The 24891-nt window shown below is 39.5% G+C and overlaps 1 protein-coding gene across 42 annotated transcripts in view; it reads left to right on the top strand.

The window, feature by feature from the left end:
* Positions 1–24891, top strand: part of SCMH1 (Scm polycomb group protein homolog 1) — a 215105-nt gene that overhangs the window by 60577 nt on the left and 129637 nt on the right. For 20 of the 42 annotated variants that reach the window (XR_946584.3, XR_007096354.1, XR_002959761.2 and 17 more), the window contains 2 exons: positions 20298–20366; positions 20832–20855. Coding sequence is in view for 16 of the 42 variants with exons in the window: in XM_047449591.1 (XP_047305547.1) it covers positions 20298–20366; positions 20832–20855 (93 nt within the window). In the remaining 26 variants the exon portion in view is untranslated. Of the gene's footprint in view, positions 1–18750; positions 18952–20297; positions 20367–20826; positions 20856–21796; positions 22006–24891 lie in introns of those variants that run through there. The other 22 variants (NR_135092.2, NM_001172222.3, NM_001394309.1 and 19 more) reach the window with 4 other exon arrangements.

Genomic DNA, 24891 nt, shown 5'->3' with positions numbered 1-24891 from the left:
CCTATTTCTCCACATCCGCTCCAGCACCTGTTGTTTCCTGACTTTTTAATGATTGCTATTCTAACTGGTGTGAGATGGTATCTCATTGTGGTTTTGATTTGCATTTTTCTGATGGCCAGTGATGATGAGCATTTCTTCATGTGTCTGTTGGCTGCATAAATGTCTTCTTTTGAGAAGTGTCTGTTCATATCCTTGGCCCACTTTTTGATGGGGTTGTGTGTTTTTTTCTTGTAAATTTGTTTGAGTTCATTGTTGATTCTGGATACTAACCCTTTGTGAGATGAGTAGATTGCAAAAATTTTCTCCCATTCTGTAGGTTGCCTGTTCACTCTGATGGTAGTTTCTTTTGCTGTGCAGAAGCTCTTTAGTTTAATTAGATCCCATTTGTCAATTTTGGCTTTTGTTGCCATTGCTTTTGGTGTTTTAGACATGAAGTCCTAGCCCATGCCTGTGTCCCGAATGGTATTGCCTAGGTTTTCTTCTAGGGTTTTTATGGGTTTAGGTCTAACATTTAAGTCTTTAATCCATCTTGAATTAATTTTTGTATAAGGTGTAAGGAAGGGATCCAGTTTCAGCTTTCTACATATGGCTAGCCAGTTTTCCCAGCACCATTTATTAAATAGGGAATCGTTTCCCCATTTCTTATTTTTGTCAGATTTGCCAAAGATCAGATGGTTGTAGATATGCGGCGTTATTTCTGAGGGCTCTATTCTGTTCCATTGGTCTATACCTCTGTTTTGGTATCACTACCATGCTGTTTTGGTTACTGTAGCCTTGTAGTATAGTTTGAAGTCAGGTAGCGTGATGCCTCTAGCTTTGTTCTTTTGGCTTAGGATTGACTTGGCAATGTGGGCTCTTTTTTGGTTCCATGTGAACTTTAAAGTAGTTTTTTCCAATTCTGTGGAGAAAGTCATTGGTAGCTTGTTGGGGATGGCATTGAATCTATAAATTACCTTGGGCAGTATGGCCATTTTCATGATATTGATTCTTCCTACCCATGAGCATGGAATGTTCTTCCATTTGTTTGTGTCCTCTTTTATTTCCTTGAGCAGTGGTTTGTAGTTCTCCTTAAAGAGCTCCTTCACGTCCCTTGTAAGTTGGATTCCTAGGTATTTTATTCTCTTTGAAGCAATTGTGAATGGGAGTTCACTCATGATTTGGCTCTCTGTTTGTCTGTTATTGGTGTATAAGAATGCTTTTGATTTTTGCACATCGATTTTCTATCCTGAGACTTTGCTGAAGTTGCCTATCAGCTTAACGATGGGGTTTTCTAGATATACAATCATGTCCTCTGCAAACAGGGACAATTTGACTTCCTCTTTTCCTAATTGAATACCCTTTATTTCCTTCTCCTGTCTGATTGCCCTGGCCAGAACTTCCAACACTATGTTGAATAGGAGTGGTAAGAGAGGGCATCCCTGTCTTGTGCCAGTTTTCAAAGGGAATGCTTCCAGTGTTGGCCCATTCAGTATGATATTGGCTGTGGGTTTGTCATAGATAGCTCTTACTATTTTGAGATATGTCCCATCAATACCTAATTTATTGAGAGTTTTTAGCATGAAGTGTTGTTGAATTTTGTCAAAGGCCTTTTCTGCATCTATTGAGATAATCATATGGTTTTTGTCGTTGGTTCTGTTTATATGCTGGATTACATTTATTGATTTGCATATGTTGAACCAGCCTTGCATCCCAGGGATGAAGCCCACTTGATCATGGTGGATAAGCTTTTTGATGTGCTGCTGGATTCGGTTTGCCAGTGTTTTATTGAGGATTTTTGCATCAATGTTCATCAAGGATATTGGTCTAAAATTCTCTTTTTTTGTTGTGTCTCTGCCAGACTTTGGTATCAGGATGATGCTGGCCTCATAAAATGAGTTAGGGAGGATTCCTTCTTTTTCTGTTGATTGGAATAGTTTCAGAAGGAATGGTACCAGGTCCTCCTTGTACATCTGGTAGAATTCGGCTGTGAATCCATCTGGTCCAGGACTTTTTTTCGTTGGTAAGCTATTAATTATCGCCTCAATTTCAGAGCCTGTTATTGGTCTATTCAGAGATTCAACTTCTTCCTGGTTTAGTCTTGGGAGGGTGTATGTGTCGAGGAATTTATCCATTTCTTCTAGATATCCTAGTTTATTTGCGTAGAGGTGTTTATAGTATTCTCTGATGGTAGTTTGTGTTTCTGCAGGATTGGTGGTGATATCCCCTTTATCATTTTTTATTGCATCTATTTGATTCTTCTCTCTTTTCTTATTAGTCTTGCTAGCGGTCTGTCAATTTTGTTGATCTTTTCAAAAAACCAGCTCCTGGATTCATTGATTTTTTGGAAGGGTTTTTTGTGTCTCTATTTCCTTCAGTTCTGCTCTGATGTTAGTTATTTCTTGCCTTCTGCTAACTTTTGAATGTGTTTGCTCTTGCTTTCTCTAGTTCTTTTAATTTTGGATCTTTCCTGCTTTCTCTTGTGAGCATTTAGTGCTGTAAATTTCCCTCTACACACTGCTTTGAATGTGTCCCAGAGATTCTGGTATGTTGTGTCTTTGTTCTCGTTGGTTTCAAAGAACATCTTTATTTCTGCCTTCATTTCGTTATGTACCCAGTAGTCATTCAGGAGCAGGTTGTTCAGTTTCCATGTAGTTGAGCGGTTTTGAGTGAGTTTCTTAATCCTGAGTTCTTGTTTGATTGCACTGTGGTCTGAGAGACAGTTTGTTATAATTTCTGATCTTTTACATTTGCTGAGGAGTGCTTTACTTCTAACTATGTGGTCAATTTTGGAATAAGTGTGGTGTGGTGCTGAGAAGAACGTATATTCTGTTGATTTGGGGTGGGGAGTTCTGCAGATGTCTGTTAGGTCTGCTTGGTGCAGAGCTGAGCTCAATTCCTGGATATCCTTGTTAACTTTCTGTCTTGTTGATCTGTCTAATGTTGACAGTGGGGTGTTAAAGTCTCCCATTATTATTGTGTGGGAGTCTAAGTCTCTTTGTAGGTCTCTAAGGACTTGCTTTATGAATCTGGGTGCTCCTGTATTGGGTGCATATATGTTTAGGATAGTTAGCTCTTCTTGTTGAATTGAACCCTTTACTATTATGTAATGGCCTTCTTTGTCTCTTTTGATCTTTGTTGGTTTAAAGTCTGTTTTATCAGAGACTAGGATTGCAACCACTGCCTTTTTTTGTTTTTCATTTGCTCAGTAGATCTTCCTCCATCCCTTTATTTTGAGCCTATGTGTGTCTCTGCATGTGAGATGGGTCTCCTGAATACAGCACACTGATGGGTCTTGACTATCCAATTTGCCAGTCTGTGTCTTTTACTTGGAGCATTTAGCCCATTTACATTTAAGGTTAATATTGTTATGTGTGAATTTGATCCTGTCATTATGATGTTAGCTGGTTATTTTGCTCGTTAGTTGATGCAGTTTCTTCCTAGCCTCGATGGTCTTTACAGTTTGGCATGTTTTTGCAGTGGCTGGTACCAGTTGTTCCTTTCCGTGTTTAGTGCTTCCTTCAGGAGCTCTTTTAGGGCAGTCCTGGTGGTGACAAAATCTCTCAGCATTTGCTTGTCTGTAAAGGATTTTATTTCTCCTTCACTTATGAAGCTTAGTTTGGCTGGATATGAAATTCTGCGTTGAAAATTCTTTTCTTTAAGAATGTTGAATATTGGTCCCTGCTCTCTTCTGGCTTGTGGAGTTTCTGCCGAGAGAACAGCTGTTAGTCTGATGGGCTTCCCTTTGTGGGTAACCCAACCTTTCTCTCTGGCTGCCATTAACAATTTTTCCTTCATTTCAACTTTGGTGAATCTGACAATTATGTGTCTTGGAGTTGCTCTTCTCGAGGAGTATGTTTGTGGCATTCTCTGTATTTCCTGAATTTGAATGTTGGCCTGCCTTGCTAATTGGGGAAGTTCTCCTGGATAATATCCTGAAGAGTGTTTTCCAACTTGGTTCCATTCTCCCCATCACTTTTAGGTACACCAATCAGACGTAGATTTGGTCTTTTCACATAGTCCCATATTTCTTGGAGGCTGTGTTCGTTTCTTTTTATTCTTTTTTCTCTAAACTTCTCTTCTCACTTCATTTCATTCATTTGATCTTCCATCACTGGTACCCTTTCTTCCAGTTGATCAAATCGGCTACTGAGGCTTGTGCATTCGTCACGTAGTTCTCATGCCATGGTTTTCAGCTCCATCAGGTCCTTTAAGGACTTCTCTGCATTGGTAATTCTAGTTAGCCATTCATCTAATTTTTTTCAAGGTTTTTAGCTTCTTTGCCATGGGTTCGAACTTCCTCCTTTAGCTCGGAGTCGTTTGATCGTCTGAAGCCTTCTTCTCTCAACTCATCAAAGTCATTCTCTGTCCAGCTTTGTTCCATTGCTGGTGGGGAGCTGTGTTCCTTTGGAGGAGGAGAGGCGCTCTGATTTTTAGAGTTTCCAGTTTTTCTGCTCTGTTTTTTCCCCATCTTTGTGGTTTTATCTACCTTTAGTCTTTGATGATGGTGACGTACAGATGGGGTTTTGGTGTGGATGTCCTTTCTGTTTGTTAGTTTTCCTTCTAACAGTCAGGACCCTCAGCTGCAGGTCTATCGGAGTTTGCTGGAGGTCCACTCCAGACCCTGTTTGCCTGGGTATCAGCAGCGGAGGCTGCAGAACAGCGGATATTGGTGAACAGCAAATGTTGCTGCCTGATCGTTCCTCTGGAAGTTTTGTCTCAGAGGGCCGTGTGAGGTGTCAGTCTGCCCCTACTGGGGGGTGCCTCCCAGTTAGGCTACTTGGGGGTCAGGGACCCACTTGAGGAGGCAGTCTGTCCATTCTCAGATTTCCATCTGTGAGCTGGGAGAACCACTACTCTCTTCAAAGCTGTCAGACGGACATTTAAGTCTGCAGAGGATTCTGCTGCCTTTTGTTTGGCTATGCCCTGCCCTGAGAGGTGGAGTCTACAGAGGCAGGCAGGCCTCCTTGAGCTGCGGTAGGCTCCACCCAGTTCGAGCTTCCTGGCCACTTTTTTTACTTACTCAAGCCTCAGCAATGGCGGGCGCCCCTCCCCCAGCCTCGCTGCCACCTTGCAGTTTGATCTCAGACTGCTGTGCTAGCAATGAGCGAGGCTCCGTGGGCATAGGACCCTCCGAGCCAGGCGCGGGATATAATCTCCTGGTGTGCCGTTTGCTAAGACCATTGGAAAAGCGCAGTATTAGGATGGGAGTGACCCGATTTTCCAGGTGCCGTCTGTCACCCCTTTCTTTGACTAGGAAAGGGAATTCCCTGACCCCTTGCACTTCCCAGGTGAGGCGATGCCTCGCCCTGCTTCGGCTCATGCTCAGTGCGCTGCACCCACTGTCTTGCACCCACTGTCCGACACTCCCCTGTGAGATGAACCCGGTACCTCAGTTGGAAATGCAGAAATCACCGGTCTTCTGTGTCGCTCATGCTGGGAGCTGTAGACTGGAGCTGTTCCTATTCGGCCATCTTGGTGCCACCCCCCGGATTTTGTTTTCTTTACTGGAATACTTCCTCTTTTCTCCTCTTTCTTTCCTTTTTTTTTTTTGTTTTTTTTTTGTTTTTTTTGGTTTTTTTTTTGAGACAAGTCTTGCTCTGTTGCCCAGGCTAGACTAATTTTTCTAAATTGCATTGGTTGCTTTTGAATATTGTTTTACTGTTGATCTTTCAGCCTGGTTTCTATTTGTTGTGGCTTCCTTGAACCAATTTTGTGTATACTGGTAGCTCACCTTTACTTAAGCAATAGAATACTAAAAACTAGTATATAAATGGAATATATATTGTATATTTAATTTTTAAGAATATATGTTTTCTAATTATGAAAATTTTTAAACATAAAATTAATCATGATCCCCTAATATATTTGTCAGTAATTTTAAAGCCTAATCTAGTTTTTAATCTTTACTGATGATTCAGAGGAAAACAAGCATAGCAGGCTACTAGAAAGACAGGGGATGTAAAAACCAGGAGAGAAGGCAAACACTTGGAGTGGGACACTGGCCAATGTTGCTGCAATGTAATAGAAAAGGGAGAAGTCATAACACATAAGATAGAGAGGTGGCATGAGTCCAATCCCATATGGCTTTGTAAAGCACCCTTAATTGAGTATGAAGCTATTGGAGGTCCTTCAGGAGAGAAATGACCTTATCTGTTTTATGTTTTAAAATACTCACTCTGACCTAGTATTAGGGTTCTCCCCCAAAACAGAAACAATGGGAGCTGTGTAGGTAGGTAAAGAGAGAGATTTATTGTGGAAATTGGCTCACAGGATTATAGAGGCTGAGAAATCCCATGATATACTATCTGTAAGCTGGTGCCATAATTTAGTCTAAGTCCAAAGACCTGAGAATCAGGGAGCTGATGGTGTAACTCCTCCTTCAATGCCAAAGACCTGAAAACCAGTGGGGAAGGCAGAGGGTACTGGAGGCTCAAGAACTAGGAGCTCCAGTGTCCAAGGGCAGGAGAAGATGGATGTCCTAGCTCAAGAAACGAGATAATTCACTCTTCCTTCACCTTTTTGTGCTATTTGGACCCTCAGTGGATTGGATAATGCCCACACACATTGGTGAGGGCAATCTTTACTCAGTCTACTGATTCAAATGTTAATCTCTTCAATAAATACCACCACAGATACACTCAGAAATAATGTTTACCAGCTATTTGGGCGTCCCTTAGCCCAGTTAAGTTGACACATAAAGTTAACCATCACAAGTACTCGTTTTCAACTCGGCATCCGTATGTATTTCCTTAAGCCATACTTGATCTCCAAATGAAGACAGTAACAAGGTCATTATTCTACCTAACATAAACAGCTATCCTGCATACAACAAAAAACACACTAGCCCCTTCCCCAGGGGAGTGAAGTTCTTCAGTGATGTTTACTCTTCTCCTGATAGCCTGTAACTTAAATATTATGATGTAAAATTAACAATACTTAAATATTGATATAAAGTCAATACAACTTTTGTTACATGATAAGAAAATAAGACAGGAAAGAAAGCAAAGATATTTGCTTAATATGTGTGTATATACACACAAACATTCATAATGAAATAAGGAGAAAATACTTAGAACAATTACAGTTCTTGTTTCTGTAACTGGTCACATGGTTATTGCTGGTATTTATAACTTATCTATTCAATTTTTTTTTCTTGTTTGCCTTCTGCAAGAACCTCATGATTCTTTACCCAGCAGGGTGACCCAAAGGTTTGGCCCATTTGTAGTTCTGCCTGGATTGCATTTTTGTAGTTATCCATTGGCCCTAATCACAACGTGGAGTAATACTGAGAAACACCCTAAGGTATCTCCTGTACTGTAGACATACTCTTCAATTCTTCCATTGTGGAGTAGTAGTTCAGTTTCTCCTTGATAGTCCAGATGAATCACCTCAGCCAACAACACCACAACTCCCTCTTTACCTGTTGACTCAGAGGCACAAGGAGCCCAGAGTAGCTGGGTGGCAGTCTTTAAAAAAAAAAAAAAAAAAATTGGAGACTTTTTTGGTTTTGTCTGTTATTATTTTTTAATTGAAACATAATTGTACATATTTATTGGGTACAGTGTGATATTTCAATACATGTACACAATATGTAATGATCAAATTGGTAATTAGTATATCAATCCCTTCAAACATTTATCATTTATTTATGTTGGGAGCATTCAGAAATATGCTCTTCTTGCTATTTGAAAATACATAATAAGTTCTCATTAATTATAGTCACTCTATAGTGCTATAGAACACTATAACTTATTTCTTTTATTTAGCTGTACTTTTATATTTGCCCCCCTACCTCCCCTTCCTTCCCTTTAGTAACCACTATTCTGTCTACTATGAGGTCAACTTTTTTAGCTTCCACATATGACCAAAAACATGTGGTATTTCTTTCTGTGCCTGGCTTATTTCATTAACCTGATGTTCTACAAGCTAATCCATGTTGCCACAAATTACAAAATTTCATTCTTTTTATAGCTAAATAGTATCCCATTGTTTATATATACCATATTTTCTTTATCTATTTATCTAATGATGGACACTTTGGTTGATCCCATATCTTGACTATTATGAATAGTGCTGCAATGAACATGGGAGTGCAGATAACTCTTCGACATACTGATTTCCTTTCCTATGGATATATACCCAGTATTGGAATTGCTGGATCATATGGTAGTATTCTTTTCAGATTTTTGAGGAACCTTCATCCTGTTTTCCATAATAGCTGTACTAATTTACAATACCACCAACAGTGAATAAGAGTTCTCCTTTCTCCACATTTTTGTCAGCATTTATTTTTGTCTTTTTACTAGTAGCCACTGTAACTAGGGTAAGATGATATTTCATTGTGGTTTTGATTTGCATTTCCCTGATGATTAGTGATGTTGAGCATTTTTCATATACCTGTTAGCCATTTCTATGTCTTCTTTTGAGAGATACTTATTCAGCTCATTTTGTTTATGTTTAAATCAGATTATTTGTTGTTTTGTGTTTTGGGGGGGAGTTTTTTGTTTTTTGCTGTTGTTTGAGCTCCCTGCATGTTCTGGATATTAATCCCTTATTGGATTAATAGCTTACATATATTTCTCCCATTCTGTACTCTTTTCCCTCTGTTGATTGTTTCCTTTGCTGTGCAGAAGCTTTTTAGTTTGATATAATCTCGTGATGTCTAATTGTGTAATTTTGCTTTTGTTGCCTATGCTTTTGAAGTCTTCTCCATAAAATCTTTGTGCAGATCAATGTCTTGAAGCATTTCTCCTACATTTTTTTTCTAGTAGTTTTATAGTTTCAGGCCTTCATTTAAGTCTTGATCTGTTTTTAGTTGATTTTTGTACATGATGAGAGGTAGGGATCTAGTTTTATTTTTCTGCATATGGATATCCAGTTTTCCCAGCACTATTTATTGAGGAGACTGTCCCTTCCCCAGTGAATGCTCTTGATGCCTTTCTCAAAAATCAGTTGGCTGTAAATACATGGATTTATTTGTGGGTTCTCTATTCTGGGTTCCATTGGTATATATGTGTGTTCTTATGCCAGTACTGTGGTGTTTTGTTTACCTTATCTTTGTAATATATTTTGAAATCCAGTAATGTGATGCCTCCAGCTTTGTTCTTTTTTGCTCAGGTTTGCTTTGGCTATTCAGAGACTTTAATGGTTCCGTACAAATTTTAGGGTTTTTTTTTCTATTTTTGTGAAGAATGTCATTGGTATTTTGATAGGGATTGCATTGAATCTATAGATGACTTTTGGTAGTATGGTCATTTTAACAATATTAAGCCTTCCAATCCATGAACATGAGATATATTTCTATTTTTTTGTGTCCTTTTCCATTTCTTTCATCAATGTTCTGTAATTTCCCTTGTAGAGATCTTTCACCTCCTTGGATAAATTTATTTGTAGGTTTTTTTTTATAGCTATTGTAAATGAGATTACTTTCTTGATTTCTTTTTTACTAGTTCATTGTTGGTTCAGTGCTACTGATTTTTATATGTTGATTTTATGTCCTGCAGCTTTCCTGAATTTGTTTATCAGTTCTAAGAATTTTTTGGTACAGCGTTTTTTTTTTTTTTTTTGAGATGGAGTCTCGCTCTGTCGCCCAGGCTGGAGTGCAGTAGTATGAACATGGCTCACTGCAGCCTTAACCTCTCAAAAGATCCTCCCACCTCAGCCTCCAAGTAGTTGGGACCACAGGCATGTGCCTCCATCCTGGCTAACTTTTTGTATTTTTTGTAGAGATGGGGTCTTGCCATGTTGCCCAGGTTGGTCTTGAAGTCCTGGGCTCAAGTGATACTTCTGTCTCACCCTCCCAAAGTGCTGGGATTACAGGCGTGAGCCACCGCGCCCAGCCATCTTTCCTCTTAATATTGCTTTTGCTGTATCCCATAGGTTTGGGTATGTTACGTTTCTATTTTCATTTGTTTCAAGAAACTTTAAAATTTTCTCCTTAATTTCTTCATTGACCCATTGGTTATTCAGAAACATGTTTAATTTGTTTCTTTTTCTACAATTTTGAAAGTTCCTCTTGTTATTGGTTTCTATTTTTATTCCATTGTGGTCTGAAATGATACTTGATATGATTTCAGTTCTCTTAAATTTGGTGAGATTTACTTATGGTCTAATTTGGAGAATGCTTCATGTGCTTATGAAAATAATGTATATTATACAGCTGTTGGATGACAGTAAAAGTACTGTCACCTAGCTGGCACTGTAACTGCATCTTTTTTTTTTTTAATTTTTAATGTAGACAGGGTTTTACCACAAGGCCATTCCATAGTTCTGTCAAGCCAGCTGCTTCAGGATGATGCATGTTAAGATCATTAATTCCATGAGCATAAGCTTATTGCCACACTTCTTTGTGTGGCTTCTTGGTCAGAAGCAGTGCTGTCTGTAATGGTGGATAAGGGATTTTGTGAGTCTGCAGTTGGTAGTTTTGACAGTAGAATTGCATGCAGGGAAGGCAAATCAATATCCAGAGTAAATGTCTATTCCAGCTGGACAAAATGCTGTCCCTTCCATGAAGGAAGCAGTCCATTGTAATCAACCAGCCACTGGGTAGCTGGCTGATCACCCTGGGAAATAGTGCCATATCAGGGGCTCAATGTTGATCTCTGCTACTGGCAGATTGGGCACTCAGCAGTGGCCATCGCCAGATTGGCCTTGGTAAGTGGAAGTCTATGCTGCTGAACTTATGCATAATTTCTATGCAAATAAGTGATGGAGGTGCCATTTACTGGGTTGGGGAAGACAAAAAGTAACAAGATGACAGAGGATGGCCTTCTGTTTTAGTCATGTTAAGTTTTTAATATCTGATTGATAACCATGTAGTGATGGCCTATAGGTAGTTGTTTATGTGAATGTGTGTGGGATTCTAAGAATCCAGTTCTGGAAATGTGAATTTGGAAGTAATCTTAATGGTGTGGTGAGCAGACACACCCTATTTGAATGAGGAGATAGTATGGGGTAGTGAGGAGGCAATAACTGTGAGGTAGCAATAACTGTGAAGTAGTGAGGAGGCAATAACTGCAGATAACTCTTAAATTTTCCTGTGAAGGAGAGCAAAGAAATAGAGGGATATAATAGGAGGGATATGTGTGGGATTAAGAGAAGGATATGAGGTTTTGTTTATTTTAGGTTTTCATTGATAGGAAATAATAGAGCAATAAGAATGCTGGTGGCAAATGACCTATTAGAAAGGAGGTACTTGATAGTAGGGTCAGCAATGTGGCAGAATAGGAAACTCCTGACTCTCCCTCCACCCATGAATGCACCAAATAAATATCTATTCATGGATCAGTTCTCTCTCAGAGAAAGTCAGAGACTAGTTGAAAGATTCCTACCCATGGGGCAACTGAGGAAACATCCTCATCGAATGGGTAGGAAAAACTGAAGCACGCTAGGGCCAGACCCCACCCTGGGCATTGTGCCATAAAATTGGGAAGGGAAGCCCCAGCATCCAACTTCTCCCCATGGAGAGGAGGGTTTTAACCCCACATATAGCATCCTAACTTAAGATTCTTCATGGTCTGGCTCTTAATTCACCAACTCTGGGAGCAGAGGGGATTAGACATACGCAAGTCTTTCTAGACCACAGGAAAAAAGCCGCAGTTAGATATGGGCATTTAAGCACTTCAGAGCTTTCATCCCCCAGGAGCAATACATAGAAGGGACTTAAGAAATGAAGCTCCCTGTTTGCCCCCAGAAGGAGTTTATGACACACTATTCCAGCAGCTTCTTGTTTGTTTGGCTTCTAACTAACTTACATTGGGGGAGTTTAGGGGCAGTCAAATATTAACCTGCCACCAGCCTGGGAAGAGTTTGTCCACACATTGAGTCCCTCAGCTTTCACAGCTTCCACCGAGGGTCTACATCCTAAAACTCTCAGCTCTGGGAGAAGAAGGGATTGGCCTATGCAGATCTCTAGACCTCTGCAGGAAAAAAGCAGCAGATTTATACGGGTGCAGAAGCACATCGCTGGACTTTATTCCCCAGGAGAAGTGCAGAGAAGGGGCTTAAAATGTAGCCCCCTGTTTTTCCCCAGAAGGGATTTATGACATACTCTTCTGGTGACTACTTGCCAGCCTGGCTTCCAACTAACTTGCATTGAGGAATTAAAGGGGTAGACAAATATTAACCTGACACCACCCTGATAGGCGTATGTCCACACAACGAGTGTCCCAACTTTTACAGCTGTCTCCCAAAGGATTATATCCTAAACATCTTAGCTCTGGGAGCCAAGGGGACTAGGCATAGATGAGTTTTTCTAGATCACAGAACAATGGGGGTGGCTTTAAATAGGTATACAAATACCTTCAGAGGTTATACCTCCTCTGAGCAGTGAGCAGTGCAGAAAGGAAGTAGGAACATGTAGGTCCCATTTGTTCTCCAGAAGGGGCTTATAGCACACACTTCCAGCAGCTACTTGGCAGCCTGGCTTCTAATGAACTTACATTCGGGAGCTGATGGGAAAACAAACAGTAGCCCTCTAGCTAATCTCAGTGATAAATCCAAGGCTACTCATTCTTCCTGGAAGGAGTTTCGTCATGTCTCAAGTGCCACAACTTCTATAACTTCCACCCAAGGGACAAGCTTTGGGAGTCAGTGGAGCTTTGCATTCATGAGTAGCCTTAGACCACAGCAAACAAAAAGGTGGACGTACAGTAGGACCACTTCTACGAGCTTCTCCTCAGGATCAGAGGGTGCAACCTGAATTTGAGTACAGGTTTTTGCCACAGATCTTCTCCTTAGCTTAGAGCAGACAGAGAGTGGGACATAAATGCTCAGGCTCAGCTGTGAAGATAGAAGGAAATGGAAAACCCATTCAGCACCTCAACATCTCCAGCTACATCTAGAGATTCTGGCTCCTACTCTACGGTATTGTGGGGGTATTGATGGAATGTGGTACATCCTAAGCTCGAGGGGACCATCAAAAAAGAGACAGCAGTCTGAATAAACACAGAGATTAGAGAGCACCTTAAAATTTTTGGCTGGATGGATTGGTGAGATCCTTCTCCTACATGAGGCCAGTCTGACAAGTCTGGGAGAGGTTATATTCTTATGTAATGCATAGAAGCTAACACAAAAATCAAAGAACAGAGAATCTATTCCCAAAAAAAAAAAAAAAAAAAGACAAATCTCCACAAGTGAAATAGAGATATGTGATTTACCTGACAGAGAATCTAAGATAATGGTTATAAAGATGTTCACTGAAGTCAAAAGAACAATGAAATAACAAACTAAGAACTTTGACAAAGAGATAGAAAGTATAAAATAGTACCAAATAGACATCAAAGATGTGAAAAATACTGTAACTGAACTAAAAAAATTCAATGGAGGTATTCAACAGCAGATTCAATGAAGCAGAAGAAAGGATCGATGAAATCAAAGACAGGTCACTGAAAAAAATCCAATCTGAGCAAAAAGAAAAAAGAATGAAAAGGATAGTTTAAAGATAGTTTATGAGACCTGTGGGACACCATCAAGTGGACAACAAATGCATTATTGATATGTCAGAAAAAGAAGAAATAAAATATATTCAAAGAAATTATGTCAGAAAACTTCCCAAGCCTTATGTCAGAAAACTTCCCAAGCCTGGGGAAGGAGATAGAAAGCCAAATCCAGGAAGCCCAAAGAACACCAAATAAGATGAACCCGAAAAGATCCACACCAAAGCAAGTTATAATCAAATTCTAAGTTAGAGAGAGTTGAAAACAGCAAGGGAAAAGTGAATTGTCATATGTAAGGGAACCACCCTAAGGCCAGCAGTGGATTTCACAGCAGAAACCTTACAGATCAGAAGAGAGTAGGATGATACATTCAAAACCCTGAAAGGAAAAAAAAAAAAAAAACAAAACACTGCCAGCAAAGCATACTATACCCAGCAATCCTGTCTTTCAAAAAACAAAGGGATGATCAAGACTTTCTCAAATAAAAACAGAATTTATCCCCACTAGACCAGCCTTACAAGAAATGCTAAAGGGAATTCGGAAGAGAACGTTAATCAGCAACGTGAAAACATGAAAGTATAAAACTCACTGAAAGAGGAGATATTACAACTGACAACATAGAAATACAAAGGATCATGAAAGACTACTATGAACAGTTATAAGCCAACAAATTGGACAACCAGAAGAAATGAATACATTGCTAGAAATATGTAGCTTACCAAGACTGAATCACAAAGCAGTTGGAAATCTGAATAGTCCAGTTATGAGTAATGAGATTCAATCAGTAATTAAAAGTCTCCAATCAAAATAAAGCCTAGGACCTAATGGCATCATAGCCAAATTGTACCAGACACTTAAAGAAGAACCAATACCAGTCCTTTTCAAACTCTTCCAGAAAGTTGAAGAGGAGGGAATTCTTCAAAATTTATTTTATGAGGCCAGCAGTACCTTGATACCAAAGCCAGACAAAGATACAACAAGAGAAGAAGACTACATCTCCCTTCATCTGAATGGTAAGAAGAAAAAGAAGACTGCAGACCAATCTCACTGATGAACATGGATGCAAAAATCTTCAACAAAATACTAAGAAACCATATTCCGTAGTATATTAAAAGGATCATTCACCATGATTAAGTGGGATTTGCCCTTGGGATGTGATGGAAATGAATAAATGTGAGTCACCATGTAACAGAATAAAGGACAAAAATCACATGATCATCTAAATAGATGGAGAAAATGCATTTGACAAAATTCAACATCCTTTCATGATGAAAACTCTCAATATATTAGATATGGAAGGAATGTTCCTCAACACAATAAAGGCCATATATGACAAGCTCATAGCTAACATTGTACTCAGTGGTAAGAAGTTGAAGGCTTTTCCTATAAGACCTAGAACAAGACAAGGATGCCCGCTCTTACCACTTCTGTTCAACATAGTACCAGAAGTCCTAGCCCGAGCAATTAGGCAAGAAAAAGAAATAAAAGACATCCAAATAGGAAAGAGTGAAATGAAATTGTCTCTGTTTGCTGACAACATGATCTTACATATTGAAAATCTCAAAGACTGTACCAAAACACCATTTGAATTAGACAAATCCAGGAAAGTTGCAGGATACAAAATCAACTTACAAAAGTCAGTAGCATTTCTATACACTAACAGTGAACTTTCTGAAAAAGAAATTAAGAAAACAATCCCATTTACAATACCACTTACTTCTAAGTAAAATACTTAGAAGAAAATTTAACCAAGGAAGTGAAAGATCTATACACTGAGAACTGTAAGACACTGATGAAGGAAATTAAGGACATCACAAATAAGTGGAAAGATACCCAGTGTTTATGGATGGAAAGAATTAATATTGTGAAAATATTTATACCACCAGAAGAAATCTACAGATCTAATGCAACTGCCATCAAAATTCTAATGTCATTCTTCACAGAAGTAGAAAAAACAATGCTAAAATTAATGTGGGGGAGACACAAAGGATCCCAAATAGCCAAACAATCTTGACCAAAAAGAGCAAAGCTGGAGACATCACACTACTGTATTGCAAAATTTATTACAAAGCTATAGCAATCAAAAAAGCATGATGCTGGCATAAAAACAGACAAGTCTACCAATGAAATAGGACAGAGAGCCCAGAAATAAACCCATGCATCTACAGTCAATTGCTTTTTGACAGGAACACACATTGAGGAAAGGACAATCTGTTCAAAAGGTGGTATTGGGAAAACTGGATATCCACATATAGAAGAATGAAAGTGGATCTTTATTTCACCCCTCATATGAGAATCAACTCAAAATGGAATAAAGACTTGAAACTATGAAACTGAAACTATAAAACTGCTAGAGGTCTGGACAGAGATTTCTTTGATATGAACCCAAAAGCATAAGCAATAAAAGCAAAAATAGACAAATGGAATTGCATTAAAGTGAAAAGCTACTGCATAGAAAAGGAAACAATGAAGGAAAGAGACAACACACAGATTGGGAGAAAATATTTGCAAATGATACACTGGAGAAGGGACTAATATCCGAAATATACTAGGAACTCAAACTACTCAGCAACAAGAAAACAGCCCTGTTAAAAATAAGCAAAGGACTTGAATAGACATTTTTCAAAAGAAAACATATAAATGGGCCACAGATATATTAAAAAAGTCCAACATCTCTAATCATCAGAGAAATGCAAATGAAAACCACAGTGAGATACCCTATAGCCAACACCTTTTAGGTTGGCTCTTATCAAAAAGATGAAAGATAAATGTTGGCAAGGATTACAAGAAAAAGGAACCTTTATACACTGTTACGGATATCACAAATTAGTACAGCCATTTTGAAAAACAGGATGGAGGTTCCTCAAAATACTGAAAATAGAATTACCATATGATGCATCAATCCCACTACTGGCTATATCCCCAAAGGAAATGAAATCAGTATGTTGAAGGGTAGCTTCATCTGCATGCCCGTATTCATTGCAGCACTATTCACAGTAGCCAAGATATGGGAATAACTTAAGTGTCCATCAATATATGAATGGATTTAAAAATGTGGTATATATACACAATGGAATACATTCTGCCTTAAAAAAGAGGAAATTCTGTCATTTTTGACAACGTGGATGAACCTAGAGGATGTAATGTTGAAGTCAGTTACAGAACGACAAATATCATATAATCTCACATGTAGAATCTAAACAAAGTCTAACTTATAGAGAAGTAGAGAGTAGAATGGTGATAACCAGAGGCTGGGAGGGGAGGGGTGAGTATAGAAAAAAGGGATACATTGGTCAACAGGTAGAAACTTATAGTTAGATAGGAGGAGTAGTTCTGGTGTTCTATTGCAGAGCATGTTGACTGTAGTTAATAATAATGTATTATGTATTTCGAAATAGCTAAAGAGAGAACTTTAAATGTTCTCACCACAAAGAAATTATAAATATTTAAAGTAATGGATATACTAATTGCTATACTCTGGTGTGATCATTCCACAATGTGTACGTATATTGAAACATCACTTTATACCCCATAAATATGTAAAATTATTGTTGGCCAATTACAAATAAAAGCAAAAAAAATAAAGGGGATACTTGCAAGGTTTTTGAGAGGATGAGAGACTCTGGGACCTGCAGCTAAAATGGAGGGTTGGCTTTTGATAAAAACAGAGACACTTCATCCACAGTAACAGGAGAGAAGTCAGAAAAAATCATGAATGAATAGGTAATTTATTCACCAGACATTTAATGAGCGCCTGTTACTATACTACTTACTGGGGATTCACCACTAAACAAGATCAAGTCTCTACCGTCGTGAAATAAGTGGAAGGGTCTTACCCTTATTTCTGTTTTCTCAATGAATCTGAATTAAAGTCATCCCCTAAGAGTGAAGTTGGGGAGAGTATATTTGGAGTTTGAGGAGAGAGAGAAAGATACGAATTTTTTTTTTTAGAAATTGGAAAAGTAAACATAGTGTAGAAATGTGGTATGATTTCTGGGTGGTGTAAAGTGGCATTTGAGAATTATAGCTATGAGTTTAAAATGAGACCAATTAGCTTGCATATGTTTTTCTTCAGCACTAGTGAGCTGCTGGGGTAGGCACAGTATAGGTTGATACGTGATTTAACCAGATTTAGGATTGAGCCTTTAGTAGGTACGTTTGACAAAAAAGAGATGGGAAGGAGGAATTAAGAGTGTTTGCCAGAGAATGATGTTAATGAGGGACCATGGAGTCTGAGCTGGGCAAGAAATTAAGTAAAGACATGATAGGTGATTGATGGTGAGAAAGTAGTAGAGTCAGTAGATGAATCTAAATTTTCAACCAAGGAAAATATATTCTCCTTATATGAGTAATGTATCCTTTTTATGGAAAATTTGAAAATATATAAGATTATAAAGTAGAAAGTGGGTGCAGTGTCAGGGAACCCAGTACTACCACCCAAAGATAACCAGTTGTTTATATTTGCTGTGTTTACTTATATGTTTTTTTCTAATGATAATTTCCGCAGTTGTCTAAGTTTCCAGGGCTGCTGTAACAAATATCATGGACTAGGTGGCTTAAACAACAGAAATTTATTTCCTCACAATTCTGAAGGCTAGAAGTCTAAGATCAAGGCATTGATTGGCAAGGTTGATTTCTTTCTTCTGAGGCCTCACTCCTTAGCTTCTGAGGCTTCTCCCTCTGTTGATTACATGATATTTTCTCTGTACCTGTGTCCAAACCTTCTCTTCTTATGATAACACCAGTCATGCTGAATTAGCGACCACCTTAGTGACCTCATTTTAACTTAATTATCTCTTTGAAGACCCTTTCTCCAAATATTGTGGGATCCTAGGGGTGTTGCTTTTCTGGCCGGAAACCTGTGGCCAGTGGTGCCTTTGCCTGAGTTTTGCTTGGGCCCACTGGGCTCGTTCCACTCACTTGGCCTGGCAGGCTGCTCATGCTATCAGCCTGGATCTCACGCCTCCAAGAGAGACTGGAGTTAGGCATGGAGTGGTGAGGAGTGTGTATGAACGAGCTTGGGGCCCATCTACTGCGCAGTCAGACACACCAGCTCCTGCCGCAAGTGGGCAGCTCCAGGTGCAGCATGGATGCCAGCTCTCTGTGAGGCTGCAGCTGGACCAGGCACACCACAAGCAGCTTCCCTGGCTGGCACCAAAGAATGCAGTAGTCCCCAAAAGCTTGGAGGAACCACAGGGCCGGAAAGAGGGAGTCACAGCCCTGACTCCGGAAGCTCCCAGGTCTGGGCTCCCCAAAGGGCTGCAGCTCTTCCCTCCTTCTCTTTGCCCAAACTGCAGCAAGCAGGGGGCATATTTCAGCCCTTTTGGTGTTACAGCAACTCTTTTAGCCACGCCGTTCAGCAGATCCCGAGTTCTTGTCCTGCAACCAGGAAGAATGAGGTACGCAGACAAGTGGAGGGTGAGCAAGATGAAGAGGTGCTGTATTGAGCAATGGAACAGCTCAGAGAAGACTCACAGTGCCAGGGCGTCCCAGTGAGTGTTCAGCCCCTAGCAGGAAGGATAGCTCCTCTCTGCAGGTAGGTTTTCCCAACAAGTGTTCACTCACTTCTCAGCAGAGAGGGTGGCTCCTCTGCAGCTGGTCATCCCATCTTCTGCAGTTCTCTGCAGAGGCAGAGAGGAGGCCCTAGAGTGGGTGGCTCCTCTCTGCAAGCAGGTTGTCACGTCATCTCTGCAGCTCTCAGCAAAGAGGAGGCCCTAGAATGGGTGGCTTCTTTCTGCAGGCAGATTGTTCAGTCATATCTTCGTCCTCTGCTCTGCTCTGGGGCTGATCCTGGGGCTTTTATGGACCTCAGAGGGGAGGAAGTGTGTGCCCATTGGTCTATGGGTGGCCATAGGCAGGCCTGGAAAAGGCACCACAAGTCCCCACTCCAGTCTGCAGGACTGGCAGTTCAGCCCCCAGCCTTCAGGCTCTCCCTGGCCTGAAGGTGGGCCTCACCAGGGATCCGCCCTTTTCTGCTTAGGAACCTATCTGCCTCCTGCTGCCATTCATAGCATCCAGACTCCACCCTGACTTTGCTCCAAGATCAGAACAGGTGCCAACAGCAGGGAGAAGCCAGGCAGGGGGAGCAGGCATTTCTGATCCTGGGAGGGAAGAGGGGTCCTGGCTGGACCCCCAAGAGTGCAGGGGTACCTGGGTCTGCAGCCACATTTGGGTGGCTGCAGCTGTGCCCGTCACGGCAGGGCTCCTGCCTGTTCCATGGAGCAGGAGGTCTGGGTTTGCAGCCTCGGTTTGGGTGGCTGCAGCTGCACCCAGGATGGCGGGACTCCTGCCTGCTCCCAGGCTCCCACCGGCTCCATGGAGCATGCATTCCCAGCTGTGCCTCCCTGCTGCAGCCGGCATGATGACAGCAGCTGCTCCAGATGGCCCACCGCTGCCATCACAAATACAGTTACATTCTGCGGTACTGCGGAGTGGGGACCTTAGCATGAAGTTTTGGAGGATACAGTTGAGCCCATAACTGGGGTGCTGTTTGTTTTTAGTGTTTTAAATAATTGTGATCATTCCATGAATATAATTTTTATCCCCATATTTTACCTAATAACATAACATAACCATTTTCCCATTTGTTCTTTAGCCTTTTAAAAATTTAACAGCTTCAAAATACTTTGTCAAGTGTTTGTATTATCAAATCTTAATCAGTCTTCTATTTTGAACATTTAGGTGTTCCTTTTTTTGTTATTGTAAACAATGCCAAGGCTTTTTACATAAAACCTTTTTCTTGTATTTTGGAGTATTTTTCCTTAGCATAGAATCTCGGAAGTGGATTACTTTATTAAAAACTGTTAATACATACTGCCAAATTGGAAAAGTATTTAATCTTATACTTTCTTTCCACATGACTATTTTTCTCTCCCTCTGCAGTGATAGACTGGAGTGATGTTAGAAAACACAAATATGGTCACCTATCAGAGTCTGCATCCCAATATCAAGGTAAGGGGGAAAAAACTCCGTTTGGTGTGGAAAAATTTTACTCGGCATCTTTTCCCATAAAACCTTCGTTGTTAGAGGTCTGAGTTTACAAATAACTCAATTGTTATATCAGAAGCAAATATTGCAGTTTACAGAGGTATTGGTCATAAGCAATATACTTTGTTTTAGCTGGAAATAGGAAACCTAGATTCTGAGTATAGGTAATCCCAAATTAGCTTCATAGTTTTAGGCACGGTTGCTTAGCCTCTCTGGGTTTTCTATAGTTTGTATAAGTTTAGGCTTGGGAATAGGCAAAATTGGGTGGTGTGCTTCCACAATGACTACTAAGAATCTCAGTGTCTTTTAGGATGAGATAACTGAACTAGACAAATACTCGATTTCCTATTTTACCCCAGAATTTCACCTTCCATCATGTTGGTATGTTTGTCTTAATGACTTATGCTCCAACATTTTTTTCTTTACTAGAAGCTGCTGACATCCTGGATCTAGGTAAGCTATTTTTCTTGTGTTTCTGTTAAATAAGGGGAATTGGTAAACCAGGGATTAGATTATAACCAGTTTTAACCAACGAGGAAAAGAATTCCACGTGTCTCTGTCTCAGAAACCAGTGAATCCTGTGCTCTTGTCTGCCTAATTATCCCATGTACTTCATCTCAGCTGTCACATCAAGTCCTGCTTATCAGTAGGCCACAGACCAAGCTAACAAGAAGGGAGGGAAGGTGGTTAATTACATGGGGTATAGGGGAGAACAGGAACTGAACCAAACTGGAAATACCATCTTAATTTACTGAATCCAGAACTAAAACAAACCCCTGCCATCCATAAATCAGTGTTTGGTGGGATTTTTCCCCCAAAAAAATTACTTGTAAGATAAATTGAACTGAAACTAAACCTAAACATTTTCTAACTTTATTGACAAATAAAAACTGAAATATTAAAATATTATCAAGTAAGAAGTCAGACCAATAATTGCATTTGGTTTTCCTCCCTGGTTAGTGTATTTCAGGACTAAGATTTGAGTAATAAAACTAGTTCTAATACTTCTCAATCAGAGTTCCTGCATAAACATCAGTCTTAACATTTTAGAATCCTTTAAAATCCTTTTATATGTTACATAGATTTTGATATCCAGATACCTGTATCAATTTTTGTTCAAGTATTTTGATATATTTTGTTACAACTTGATATTTATTTAGCTCTATTATTATCATTGTCTATTTGCCTCCTCTTGCCTTTCTTTCCTGCAACATATTACTTTCCATTGCCCAGTGACACAGAAGATAACATGAAGTAGTAGAACACTAGACTAGGAGTCAGAACTCCTAGGCTTTTTGAGAGCCAGTTCTGCCACTTAGTAACTTTGTGACTCTGATCCTTAGTTTTCTTATTTGTAAAATGGGGATAATAATCCCATTCTGCCTACTTCACAGGGTTGTAAAGAAGATTACATGAGCTAATGGATGTGAAAACATCTTAAAAACTCTCAAATACTTTTCAACTTTGGAGGATTATTATGATTTTCATTCTGTTCAGCGGCTATACTCAGACTTTACTCTAAAAGTCAAATCTTCTGACATTCTTTGAAGTGAAGCATTCTATGAATGTGAGCTGAAGAAATGAATGAAATGAAATAATGCAGGTAAAGGTGCCTGGCACTTGATAAATGATAGTTATTTTTTATTATTCTTTAAAACTTTCCTCAAGCTTTTTAAGGTACTGATGTGTGGTAGAAAAAACATGGACATAGGAGTCAGACAATTTGAACCAAGGTTCAAATTCCTATTCCCACTTACCAGTTTTGTGACTTCAGGCAAATTACTTAATCTTTCTAAGCCTATTTCCTCATCTTTAAAATGGGAGTAAAACCTACTTTGCAGGTTATAATGAACACAGGAGATAATGGACGTAGTCTGGCATGGTACAGGCAAATGGAAGACAGTGATAGCTGCTGTTGTTTTTGGTTTTGTCGCTAATATGAATGATAATAACAATTGTAGCTCAGTGACAGCTTAAGGCATATTGTAAACTGTTGATGGGGAGTTGTGAAATGTGGGTACTCAATTTAACATAGAGTATATCAGTTACTAAAAGATGTTAAAATTTGAAAGTGTATTTTTCCTAGAGCATTGGTTGCATAGGCATATCCTCTGATGTAAGTTAATCCTGCATATTTCATTTTTACCATCTAGCATAAGGAGCAGCTCCAAATAGCAAACTGAAATAAAATTCAGTAGATCTGTGGAATCTCAAAGTTGGAAAAGACCATAAAATAATCTACCCTTGCCCAGCATTTAAAACTCAACATTTTGAATTTTTTGTAAAATGTCTTATCTTGAACTCCTCAAGTTTTTGAGGACTTAGAACCTCCTCACGTAATTCATTTCATATTTAGACATATTTATTGGTCAAAAATTTGCTCTTTTTGTAATTTCTGTTAGTCATCCCTCTGACTTTCTGGCCATATGAAACAGGGTTAGCCTATTTTTCACTTACTGGCCCTGATTTTTAGAGAGAAGCTCTAGGGACTGCCTTCTCATTGCCACTCTGCCGCTTTCATAGTTGAATCTCACACCTAGATTATTAAAACAGCTTCCTAACTAGTCTTTTTTGCCTCCAGCCCTATCACCCTCCTGCCCATTCTTTACACTACAGCCAGAATGACTTCACCCCAAACGCTTGAAGACTTCCTCTTCTCAGTAATACAGTATATTTGGCTCGCTAATGACTGAACACTGCCTTTATCTGTAACCTTTTTCTAAACTACTTTTTCTGTAAACTCCACCCAGCAGCCATACCAAAAGATCTGCATTTAGAACTGCTTTTTCTCATGTCTGGGCCTTTATAATGCCTTTCTTTCTGTCTGAAACAAACAAAAAGAGTTTCCTTTTTCTTTGACTCCTGCTTATCCTTTTACACTTTAGCTTAGAAGCCTAGAGCTTTCTTTGGTAAGTTTCCACAAGCACTCTGGGTGCTCCTGTAGCACCCTCTGTCTCTCCAGTGTAGCACTTATCACATTATCTTAGTGGTGACTGTTTAGTCTCTGTCCCTCACTAGATTCTCTGTCTGTCACTAGACTGAAGCTCTGTGAGGTTAAGGATGATATTTTGATTACAGTTATATGTCCAGCACTCAGCACAGTGCTTTGACACACACTATAAATATTTGTTGGATGGATGGGGAATGGCTCTGAGACTTCACTTTTTTACTCATGCTAATTGTTCATGTTCCTTCACCTGGTCCTCAGGTGATGTGGTTTTGGGTCTGTTTACCATCACTAGGTAATCATTTAAACTCAGATTTGCTCTCTCTCAAAGTGTAGTTTTCAGAACTATATCCCAGGTATTATTTTATTAGTCCAAGAAAGAATAGGAATATTACTTGTGTGCTTCTTTTCATTCACTCAGAAACTCATATTGAGCCTCTATTAAATTTCAGGCACTGTGTTAAACAGTAAAGATTTTAAAAATGAATATAAGCCCCCATCCATAAAGAGCTTACATAAATAATTATGGTGATATGATGTGAACAGGATGTTATAGGAGATAGGGAGATGGTAAAATTTGTCCAGCCCTTTTCTGCAAAGCCTTCTGACAGAAAATGTAAAATTTTTGCTGAGCTTTAGTCACTGAGTGTGAGTAACATGGGCAAAGATATGGGACCAAGAAAGCCATGAGTTTTAGGAAACACTAAGGTCCTTTGTAGCTTGAATATTGTGATTCTACATCTGTGAAGCCTCCCAAATCCAGACCTTTCTCATATCAGGATATCTGCCTGGACCTTCGAAAACACCTCTGATTTCTCTGCCTTATCTAAGGCTCTCTTTCTGTTGCCTGAAAGTCTGTGTCTTTTCAGAGGGACCCTGTGGTATAGTGAAAAGAACACTTTCTCTAGATGCTTTATTTCTATTAAGTAAAAATTCTTCTAGTGACTTTTCCTTAATCTACAAAGAACTCCTAGAATCTATGAGAAAACAAAAGAATATCTCAGCAGAAAAATGGCTAAATAAAATACAGACTGGCTGATAAGCCTAAAGAGATCTTTGACTTTATTAGTAATCAAAGAATTGCAAATAAAATTATAATAGTATTTTATTTTTTCACTGATAAGATTTGTCAAAATTATGGAAATTGTTAAAACACAGTTTTAGCAAATATGTGGTAAACACACCTGTGTACTTTCGGTAGGAATAGAAATTGAGTCTGGGCAATATAGTGAGACCTTGTCTCTACTACAAAGAAAAAAATTAGCCAAGCATAGTGGTGCACACCTGTAGTCCCGGCTACTCTGGAGACTGAGCGGGGAGGGTTGCTTGAGTCCAGATCGGGGTTACAGTGAGATATGATTGTGCCACCACACTCCATCCTGGGTATCTGAGTGAGGCTTTGTCTCAAAAAAAAAAAAAAAAAAAAAGTTGGCTTATACTTGTAATCCCAGCACTTTGGGAGTCCGAGGCAGGAAGATGACAAGCCTAGGAGTTTGCAACTAGCCTGGGCACCATAGGGAAACCCTGCCTCTAAGAAGAAAA

Source organism: Homo sapiens, chromosome 1, assembly GCF_000001405.40.
Source record: "Homo sapiens chromosome 1, GRCh38.p14 Primary Assembly".
Classification (NCBI taxonomy): Eukaryota; Metazoa; Chordata; class Mammalia; order Primates; family Hominidae; genus Homo; species Homo sapiens.
The sequence above is the reverse complement of the archived record's forward strand: the minus strand, read 5'-3'. Positions and strand labels throughout refer to the sequence as shown.